An 11,952-nucleotide genomic window follows, 5' to 3' on the forward strand; every position below is an offset into this window, starting at 1 on the left:
AACTAACCTAACTGATTAATGTCAATGGTAATAAAAATTTGATCTTTTATTACAGCATAGTATCTAAGTTGGCTTTACAATGATTAATTCAGCAACAGTATTTTTCTGGCTCCAAACTCTGCATTCACAGTAGAAAGCAAAACCCAGCAAAGAGGTGAATTTGGGGAAAATACTCTGCAATGCCTTTAATTTTTTTTAATCTCAATTCCTTGGGAGATTAAAACTTATGTGATGAAATAGACTATTACAAATGAAATCAGTATGCTCAGACATGTTGCTTTTGTGAAAAACATGGGAAAATATGAAATATGAACTAGTTAATGTGTAACTAAAAATATGAGCCTTCAGCTGAAAGAATCTGAATTTTGGAAAGGACTCATGTCTTAATCAGCTCAGGCTGCTATCACAAAATATCATAGGCTTAATATAAATTTATTGTTCAAAGTACTTGGGACTGAGAAGTCCAAGATCAAGGTTCTGACAGGGTTTAGTTCCTAGCAAGGGCTCTTTTTCTGGCTTGCAGATGGCTGCCTTCTTGCTGTATCCTCCCATGACCTTTCCTTTGTGCATAGATGTAGTGGAGGGGGAGAGAGACAGAGGGAGGAAGGGAGGGAGGGAGGGGGAGGTGGAGAGGAAGAAGGGGGGTGGGGGGAGAGAGAGAGAGAAGGAATGCCCTCTTACTTTTCTTATAAAACCACTAATACATTGAGGGACCTACCTTCATGACCTAATCTAATCCTAATTAAGTCCCAAAAGCTCCACCTCCAAATACCATCACATTGGGGGATAGGGTTTCATTATATGAATTATGGGGGGACATAAACATTCAGTTCATAACACTGGCATAGATTATAAAGAGCTAACCAGATTTCCAGGAAGCATGTTTCTCTCACTTGAATGGAGATGAGGGCAGCATCTGCTACTGCTCTCCTGCTGGCTAGAAGGAAATAGATTGTGCTCATTCTGCAAAGAAAGAGTTATGCTTGCTGCACCTCAGCTTTCCAGCTCAGAGATTTGCTTCCCGGAGCCAGATGAGCCCCATGGCCTTTAGTGCCTGTCAAAAGACAGTACCTAGATCCTGACAAAGGGGCAGGAAAGCAAGGGGGAAAAGGATACCACAAAGTGAATTGTCAAGAATAAATTAAGATCTGTTGTCAGTCCCAGAACTAATTCCTAGGCTTTCTTTATCCCTGAATAAATAATAAATGACATTGATTTGTATTCTATGTAGCAACAGTCATAGTTCTACAATTATAGCAACTTGGAAGAGCTCTCTAAAGTTTATTATTTTAACTTTTAAAAATTTTTAATCTTTTATTTTTCCAAAAGCAATTTAATACAATTGTAGTTAAACAGTTTTCCCATTTTCTACATGAAAAAAAGCCAACAATAGCATATATACTAACTAAATTTAATTTCAACTATTTTTTCAGTATATCTTATTTATGAAGAAAGGCATTGTGTATTATCTTTAGTTAGATGATTCATGCCTACGTCAGAGTAAGTCTGTTAAAGGATATTATATCCCCTTGCAGATGAATCTGCTTTGCTCTATTTTCCTCTAATGGAGCTGAGGATTCAGGTATGTTTTCCTCAGATAATACTAATTAGAAGGAAAGGTTGGAAAATAAGTATTAATCTCTCATGTTCCCAATATACTCCAGTAGATAATCTGCCTGTGATTACAAGGTAAAATCACAGTTTATTTCAAGTTCACAACTATATAAAGGATAAGGATGTAGCATAATTGCAGGGTAAAAATACTCAGCAGTGTTGGGAATCAGATCCATATAGAATGGTATAGAGCAAGCTATCTGCCTTATGAGAGAAGAAAAAGGTACAGAGTCTATAAGCAATGATATTATTATCCACAAAAACTCTTCCTGAATCAGGCATTCTCAACTCTTGGCTGCATGTTAGAATTATCTGGAAAAATCCTAATGCCCCATGCCACACCCTATCAATTAAATCTGAATATCTGGAATTTGGGCCCAAATATTTGAGGAGCTGATTCCAATGTGCAAGTAAAGCTGAGAAACACTCTGCAATAGCTCCTCACTACAAGTTGCTTTTGCACCAGTCTGGCCTATTGGCACTTTTATAAATGCAAACAATGGTGGACACACTGATGGTCAAACTAAAAAGTCCCTCTGGTAAGTTTTCCTCTCAAGCTTAATCTTATGGCACAGAAGGTGAAAACGTGTTGGCGATTATCAGGGTAAGTCCACCCAAATCCTGGGATAAAGCAATTAGTTACTTTAGGCACAAATCATAATTTCTAATAATCTGTCTGAAGTTAGAAGAATATGAAAATAACACTTAATTTTAATTCTATAACATAGCTATCAAATTTTCTGTAGGTACTATATGGTTATTAGATTGACATTTCTGAAAATTTGTTGGAATAGCACATTTTTCTTCCAAGGAGATTTTACAGGACTTATTTATTCAACAGACATTTCATTGCGTTGTTATTATAATGTCAGCTCTTGTTCTAGGCCTTGGAAATGACATAAGGAATAAGACTAAGTCTATGTATATGGAGCTGATATTCAAGTTGAGCAAGATAGCAAGTCATTAGCATCCCTTGGCTTCTGCTTGGCATCTTATTCAGCCTCTTGCACAATTATTCTCAAAGTTTACTGTGCACAACAGCCACCTGGGGTACTAATTAAAATGTGGTTCTCTAGGTTCTACCCCTGAGATTCAGGCTCAGAAAGTCTAGGAGGGCATTCTAACAAGCGCCTTTGGTAATTCTCATGCAGGTGGTCCATTTATCACTTTGAGGAATACTAGTCTAGCATACTTGTCTGTTTCATTGACTTAGAATGAACACTATGGAATGTCAGGAGGATTACTCAGGGCTTATCTAATAGTAGAAAGATGAAATCTTAAAAGGATAACGCTTGCCATGTAGGTGAATGGCAGCTGTTGGAAATTACTTTCTTGCTTTTAGAACAGAAAATGTAACCTCTACAAGTAGGCAATCTTAGGAGAAAGTTTGACTGGCTACAGATTTGCTTATATTTATCTCAAGAGAGTTATTTAATTTACCCAGATCACCTCAAAATGTGGCTCTTTTGAGTGCAAAGGAGTGTCCAGTAAAATGTAAATCCACAATATTTCCGTGGATTTATATTTTCTTCAATTAATATGAAAATGAAGAAATAACACTGCATGTAAATCCACAATATTTCTGTGGATTTATATTTTACTGGACACTCCTTTGCACTCAAAAGAGCCACATTTTGAGGTGATCTGGGTAATTTAAATAACTATCTTGAGATAAATAAAATATAAATAATGAATTTATATTTTACTGGACACTCCTTTGCACTCAAAAGAGCCAGATTTTGGTGCTTTTGGATTTAAGTTTAAGTTTGGATTTAGCCCCAAAGCACACAATATGAGAAGGGCAGGAGTTAGTATGGGCCTGGGAGGTTATACTTAAAAGCCTTTGTAATTTTAATGACAATTAGGTCAGTTCATCTTGCTAGACTTTACTCAATCAAAGTTTGATTAGATGATTTCCTAGGTTTCATATAAGTAAGAATGCCTTGTGAAGGGTCAACCCAAATCTGCAGATTATGTCTAGCTAAAAATTTTTTAAAAAATGTTTTTCTCAGAGTTCCAATCTTGCATGTTTATCCATGTTTTCCGTAGGCACACATATGGCAACAGAAGGAAGTTTGAAGTGACAACAGACATTACCAAAACAATCTACAGTCAATCATTAGTAGAACTTGTAAAATTGGTCACTTACTCAATTGAACAACCTATTCCCTACAAGGGTGGCCAACTGCCCTGGTTTGTCTGAAACTCAGGGATTATACGGAATGTGCTAAAACCAGGAAGAGCTGGTCACCCTGGTTATCCACCAGCAATTTAAGAGGTACCTGCTGTCTTAGTTTGTAGTGTAGTTTAGGAGATAAAAGTAGCAGACACACAAAAATAATTGAAAAAGAATTCTGTGCTAAACTGGGTGATATTGTCTCCAAGTACAATAGGAATTCCGAGAAAAAAAGGTCAGTGTGGGCTGTAGTTGCTGCAGTTTTATAAATTAGGTGGAACAGGATCCCAATTTTGTGGCTTGCAGTTCTGCTTCCTTCTTTACAAGAAATGTCATCATCCTTTTCATGCTCAAGAAACATGAAAATGACCTAGGATAAATCTTGCATATCTGTCAGTCAGGGACAAGGAATAAGATTAGTTTAAAACTAAATTGACTTTAAAGCTTTGTCTCTTATTTAAATAATTAACATTTATTTATTCATACAATGATGAATGCCAGGAATACAAAAAATAAAATAAAATACAATTTCTGCCCTTGATGTGTTTATTGTCTAGTGAGGCACATATACATTAGTGTGTAAAAAGGTAAGTTCAAGGATATGTGAGGAGACCTGCGATAGAAATATTTGGAGAGTTATGGATACCTTAAAGAGAGAAATATGTGAGAAAGAAATTGGAGTTTAGTAAATAACCCTATCTTTTTCTGTGTTTAATATCAACATCTATTTCAGGACATTCTTAGTTTTAGGTCAGCCAAATGAAATAGCTTGATTGTAGATACTTTGTAGTAAAATAGTCATTTAATATGAAAATGAAGAAATAACACTGCATATTCTAAAGTTCTAATTACTTGGGTTTAGTTGATCAGATGGGCTGACTTTGCTTACCTTGGGGTATACTTTAATAAAGTCAGACAAACTAATCAAAAAAACAACACAGAGGTGTGACTATAGTTAGTGCGTTAGCAAATGCACAGGATATACATTTGGCAAGACTCAGTGCTGTCCCAGGAACCTGAACTTTGGAATTTCCTGAATTTGTGGGGCTTATGGTATTTAAGTGGAAGTTAGGTAGATAGTAAGCTGGCTTTTATAGTTCATCAGTAAGTTAAAACACAGAAAGAAACTCTTAAAAGGAAGAGGGCTATGTCTTTATGAATTATAGTTGCAGTTGCTAAAAATTGCAGAGAGAGAGAGAGGGAAGAATTATTATGTATACACACTGTGCTAGGTGCTGAACCCTTATTAAAGGTGAATAAGATCTAAGATCTGGTTGAGTCAAACATTGCTTGGTGTGAATGCCAGATATGAAAAACAAATACGATATTATTGAGAATAAAGAGAGGTAAGAAAGGGGAAGAAAAAGGATTAAATTAACATTGAGCTTGGAATCAACTAGCCTCATAATTCTAAACATAGAGTGGGCAATTAAATTTGGGAAGCAGATCATACAGTGGATAGAAAGACCATAAACATTAAATCCCACCTCACTGACATGCACAATATTTGTAATAATAAATAGTTGTCATAGTGACATCTAGATAAATATCAAAACAAAACCAACAAAATACCAAACAAACAGAAAATCAGACCAGCCCAGGAAATACAAAAACATCCCAGAAGTAGCCAATAGACAATTCAAGGCAGCTGACTAGGAAGGGTGGAGGGAACTCAGCCCTCTCATCTTTGAGTGAGATTTACTTTCCTAGGGTGCTCACTGGATCCAAGATGGTGCCCTGATTCCATCTCCAGTGTAGAGTGCCCATTGGGCACTCAGGAATTTGTCTTACCCCTGTGAAGAGCCTGGACCATTGGCATTGTGGCAGAAGAACAAGGAGACAGACAGAAGGGATCACTTAACCCAGTTGCTCCAAAAGCCTGTGAAATAAGAATTTGCCTACCTCTCTTCAAGGAAATTTTAGGACATATGTCCTCCTGGTGTGAGTTGTGGGTTTCCTATCCAAAGGCCAAATGCATGGGCTGGCTTTTGTGCACCCAGCCACATGCATAAGATTAATAAGTGTTTGCAGTCTCCCAAGCCTGGTGTGAAAACCACAAAGTAGGACATTGTGCCTTAACAGGTTGTACATGTGAGTTTCAACTTTACATTGATCTTCTATGGATAACTTTAAAGCTTTTTTTTTTTTAATTTGTGTTTCCAGTAGTCAACTTTGAAAAATATCATGATCAAAGGTAAGATGCTATTGCATGAAACATTTAAATTACATTTCTTGGAAACTGACTTTGGAGATTTGTTCCTTGATTCCAGTGTTTTAATCATCTTGCTCGGTGACCTGCTGCATGACTCATCCTGATCCCTAGAGGCTTTCTCTCTTCTTTCTACCTAGATGTTCAACTCTCTTCTTTCTACCTGGAAGTAGTATTTTGTTCATTGCACTTGGTAAGTTCGGACAGGGTCAAATCCTGCCTCTGCCAGTTACCAGGTCTTTCACTCTGGACAAATTATTTAGCCTTTCTGTCTTCTTTTGGGGATGTTAACAAGAATACACATCACAGAGGACTAAAGTAAGGATTGAAGAAGATTGTGTATGCAAAGCACTTAGCACTGTGCCTGACTCACAGTAGTACTCAATACATGCTATTTTTACATGCTTCTGGCACAGGCAGCCCTGACTTACAAATACCTGATTTACTGTGCCCTGTACACGTGAAGAGGATGAAACATTACGAAGGCACTCCAAGAGCCTGCTGCCAACACCAGAAACCCGACTGTTCTAGCTAAACCCCTGATTGCTTCTAAACCAATTACTCAGAAGATGCACAATTCACAGTTTCAGAATCCATATACAGTTCACCAGTCCTCTGTCTGCCTAACTCAATCTCATACCATCACAGAACTAGAACACTTAGATTAGGGCGTCTGGGGTCTATGTTTTTGGCATTCTGCCTCAGAATGAGTGTCCTGATGTTGATACCAGGAGCCAAAAATGCAAATTAAGAAGGGTGATCATGGACCAGCTTGTGGCCTAATGGGGCAGAGGTAACTAACATGTGTGGTCCCAGACTATTATAAGGAACAATTCAATTAAGCCCCAATATGTGCTTTCCAAACCCAAAGGGCACTATACCAGGCAAAGTGTCTTGCCCTTAAATTTGAAGGGGAGCGAAAAATACCAAACTGTAAAATATCTTCATTGGGTTTGTTCCCCTAGCTCCCTGCATTTGCATGAACATGCTAGTCAGTTCAGAATCCTGTGTTTATACCTTTCATTTGGTCAGAAAGATAAAAGATATAAAGAAAGTTTCCCTATTTCTCTTCCCAACTGGCTCCCTGTGTCTGAGTTCCAAGCCACAGCATGTGACAATGGGAAATCTTATCTGTTCCAGTTATTTGCTCTTTGTAGATCTAAAACAGTTTAAGTTATAACAGCATTCCCTAGGCCTTCAGCACAAATAATTCACACTTGCAACCACACTCACAGTTACCGCAGTGTGGTATCATAAAGACTTCAGTTCTGCAAGAGACACTAAATTTAATACCAGCCTTCAGGAGCCAAAAGCCATTGCTCAGTCCTTTGCAGAGAAACCGATTTAATTAAGATGTTTTATGTCCACTTTTACACTTTTAAATGTAGAAATCTAAACATCTATAATATTAAATAATTCTGTCTTTAGAAGCATATTTTTCTCAAAAAAAAAAAAAAAAAAACCAGACTGGCAGGTTTTCATTTACACAAAATATTCCAGCATCAAGAGCCTTCTCAATTAGTTGCCAGGCTTCACTTTGTCTCAGTAAATTAGCAGAATGTAAATGAGCCAAGGTCCATGAAAAATCTCCTCATTGATTGCTTCTCTTGGTTTTGCCTCAAACCCTTCAGGGCTCGAATATTTGACAGTACGCTTTCAACTTACACACTATTTGCATGAAACTGACAGAGCTTTAAAATTTTTTTTTTTAGTCAGAGTGCCTAGAAATGCTCACAATGCATTTTAACAAGTGATAGGCCAGTCTTTCTTCAGGAATATTTGCTTTGAAAGGGTAAGAAATAATTAGACTAGCATGTGCTATCTTTGGTGAGGGTTGGCAACTTAGAACTTGGGAGCTGTTGGCAGGCCCTGGCAGTCATTGTTGGTGTTGTGGGAAGCCTTTCCAGAAGTGTGTCCAAAAATTGTAAGTGGACTCGTTCTGACCTTTTCTGGCCCTGGTCCCACCCTGTTAAAACAAGGTTTTCAGGGTAGGATTCCAAAAGGCAGAGTTGAGGTAGGAAAGCGGGACAGGATGTCATGGAGTGGAAAAAAAAATCACCAATAGTCTAGGGAATTGGGACCTCATTTGAGTCCCGGTTCTGACACTATGTGACCTTGGACAAGCTACTATTCCTGACAACAGCTTCCCCTGGGCTGTGGTACAGAGAGATTGCATGTTGGAGCAATTCCTAGCACCCACCAGTTATAGCACTGTTACTTCTACAAAAGAAAACATATAGAAATGCAAGTAAAAGCTAGGTTCTTACAGAGATAACATGGAACGCACATAAATTTCTTTTTAGAAAAAAATTACTGGCAAATTTTGGTAGTTTATTATTAGTTATCCAATTATACATAACACCCCTGTAGCCCTGTGGCTGAGAGCCAATGATGTTTCACTCTCCAAATGTAATATTTAATTATTGGAAGACTTTTCTGAGAGTTACCTTGATACAGAGGTTTAACTAAAAAAGCAAAAGTTGAACTCTCTCATCTGTAAGTGGGAATCAGCAACAATGACTGCTCCATCCTCTAGGGTTTGCTGTGAGGAGCTATAGAATGTTGCTGAATATAAAGGGCTTTGTGTAAGTGGAAAGGGGGTATCCGTGCATAGATGCCTGGAATGCTGTGTGCAGGATTGGAGGCACCACAGAGAGAGCATGAAGGTATGTGGATTAACATCACGAGGCAGGATGGGAGAGACTCTTGCGGAGAGGCCCAGGGCCCACAGTTGCTGGCAGAGCTCCCAGCAGAAACCTTGGCATGCAGTAAGAGATCTGTAGGTATCCACTGAATGGATGAATGAGTGAATGTTTCAATGAGTAAGTGAATGAATGGTGGAACAAAACTACACAATAGGTTCTGGATTATGAGTTCCAAAACAATGGATTACATTGAAACTCCTATTTCACCCTTGAGCTCTGGTGCATGTGCTAGGTCTGAGAGGGATGGTTCCAGTGACAGATGTTTATGACCAGTCTCAGTAATAGGAAGCAGAGTGTAGAGATTTAGGGCAGGGGCTTTTACATCAGATTGCCTGGGTCCAAATCCCAGATCTACCATGAGCTATTTGAGATGCTCATCATTATCTCTAACACTTCTGTGCCTTAGTTTCTGTAATATGGGGAAGAAGATGGTAATGAAGATGATGAAGATGATGGTGACTACCTCATAATATTCTCATAAGGATTAAATGAGTCAGTACACACAAAGTGTTTAGACAGTGCTTGAAGTTCTCAAAAAATTTTAGTTATTGCATTTGGACAATGAAGTATCATTGGGACCTAACTGTTTGCACTATACTTATAAATATATATATACTACTTCTAAGCAGTTTCACTTGAACTTGAGTGGGAGTTCATGCCCTGGGGAATAAAAAGGCTTAGTATTTGAAGTCAGGGAAACAAAGCCTGAAAACTTGCTCTGATTCTTACTGAGTAAACTTGGACAAATAAATCATTTTTCCTTTTTGAGGCCCAATTCCCAACATGCAAAACAGGGAAAGTAATGATGATACCTTATATGGCTGTCATGAGGAGTAAATTAAATAATACATATGAAAGGGATTTATAAACCTTAAAGACTACTTAACAATTATTGTGGGAAGCAGCCAAGATGGCCAAAGAGGAACAGCTCCAGTCTACAGCTCCCAGCGTGAGCGACACAAAAGATGGGTGATTTCTGCATTTCCATCCTAGGTACCAGGTTCATCTCACTAGGGAGTGCCAGACAGTGGGCACAGGACAGTGGGTGCAGCATACCGTACACGAGCTGAAGCAGGGCGAGGCATTGCCTCACTCGGGAAGCACAAGGGGTCAGGAAGTTCCCTTTCCTAGTCAAAGAAAGGGGTGACAGAGGGCACCTGGAAAATGGGGTCACTCCCACCCGAATACTGCGCATTTCCGACGGGCTTAAAAAACGGTGCACCACGAGATTATATCCCGCACATGGCTGGGAAGGTCCTGGCAGCGAGACGCCCACGGAGTCTCCTGATGGCTAGCACAGCAGTCTGAGATCAAACTGCAAGGCAGCAGCGAGGCTGGGGGAGGGGTGCCCGCCATTTCCCAGGCTTGCTTAGGTAAACAAAGCAGCCAGGAAACTCGAACTGGGTGGAGCCCACCACAGCTCAAGGAGGCCTGCCTGCCTCTGTAGGCTCCACCTCTGGGGGCAGGGCACAGACAAACAAAAAGACAGCAGTAACCTCCGCAGACTTAAATGTCCCTGTCTGACAGCTTTGAAGAGAGCAGTGGTTCTCCCAGTACACAGCTGGAGATCTGAGAACGGGCAGAATGCCTCTTCAAGTGGGTCCCTGACCCCCCACCCCCGAGCAGCCTAACTGGGAGGCACCCCCCAGTAGGGGCAGACTGACACCTCACACGGCTAGGTAGTCCTCTGAGACAAAACTTCCAGAGGAAGGCTCCAATTAAAAGACACAGACTGGCAAATTGGATAAAGACTCAAGACCCATCAGTGTGCTCTATTCAGGAAACCCATCTCATGTGCAGAGACACATAGAGGCTCAAAATAAAAGGATGGAGGAAGATCTACCAAGCAAATGGAAAACAAAAAAAGGCAGGGGTTGCAATCCTAGTCTCTGATAAAACAGACTTTAAAACGACAAAGTTCAAAAGAGACAAAGAAGGCCATTACATAATGGTAAAGGGATCAATTCAACAAGAAGAGCTAACTATCCTAAATATATATGCACCCAATACAAGAGCACCCAGATTCATAAAGCAAGTCCTAAGAGACCCACAAAGAGTCTTAGACTGCCACACAATAATAATGGGAGACTTTAACACCCCACTGTCAATATTAGACGGATCAACGAGACAGAATGTTAACAAGGATACCCAGGAATTGAACTCAGCTCTGCACCCAGCGGACCTAATAGACATCTACAGAACTCTCCACCCCAAATCAACAGAATATACATTTTTTTCAGCACCACACCACACCTATTCCAAAATTGACCACATAGTTGGAAGTAAAGCTCTCCTCAGCAAATGTAAAAGAACAGAAATTATAACAAACTGTCTCTCAGACCACAGTGCAATCAAACTAGAACTCAGGATTAGGAAACTCACTCAAAACCACTCAACCACATGGAAACTGAACAACCTGCTCCTGAATGACTACTCGGTACATAATGAAATGAAGGCAGAAATAAAGATGTTCTTTGAAACCAATGAGAACAAAGATACAACATACCAGAATCTCTGGGACACATTCAAAGCAGTGTGTAGAGGCAAATTTATAGCACTAAATGCCCACAAGAGAAAGCAGGAAAGATCCAAAATTGACACCCTAACATCACAATTAAAAGAACTAGAAAAGCAAGAGCAAACACATTCAAAAGCTAGCAGAAGGCAAGAAATAACTAAAATCAGAGCAGAACTGAAGGAAATAGAGAAACAAAAAACCCTTCAAAAAATTAATGAATCCAGGAGCTGGTTTTTTGAAAGGATCAACAAAATTGATAGACCACTAGCAAGACTAATAAAGAAGAAAAGAGAGAAGAATCAAATAGACGCAATAAAAAATGATAAAGGGGATATCACCACCGATCCCACAGAAATACAAACTACCATCAGAGAATGCTACAAACACCTCTACACAAATAAACTAGAAAATCTAGAAGAAATGGATAAATTCCTCGACACACACACCCTCCCAAGACTAAACCAGGAAGAAGTTGAATCTCCGAATAGACCAATAACAGGCTCTGAAATTGTGGCAATAATCAATAGCTTACCAACAAAAAAGAGTCCAGGACCAGATGGATTCACAGCTGAATTGTACCTGAGGTACAAGGAGGAATTGGTACCATTCCTTCTGAAACTATTCCAATCAACAGAAAAAGAGGGAATCCTCCCTAACTCATTTTATGAGGCCAGCATCATCCTGATACCAAAGCCAGGCAGAGACACAACCAAAAAAGAGAATTTTATAC

At 39.3% G+C, this 11,952-nt stretch overlaps 1 annotated feature.

Annotated features, from left to right (window-relative positions):
* Positions 9,882–10,427: an enhancer, noted in NCBI's record as "OCT4-NANOG-H3K27ac-H3K4me1 hESC enhancer chr11:103609900-103610445 (GRCh37/hg19 assembly coordinates)". NCBI's record gives its function as "activates a minimal SCP1, AML or CMV promoter by ChIP-STARR-seq in primed H9 embryonic stem cells {active_cell/tissue: H9 hESC(primed)}" and the evidence as "EXISTENCE:reporter gene assay evidence [ECO:0000049][PMID:30033119]".

Source organism: Homo sapiens, chromosome 11 (genome assembly GCF_000001405.40).
Source record: "Homo sapiens chromosome 11, GRCh38.p14 Primary Assembly".
Taxonomy (NCBI): domain Eukaryota; kingdom Metazoa; phylum Chordata; class Mammalia; order Primates; family Hominidae; genus Homo; species Homo sapiens.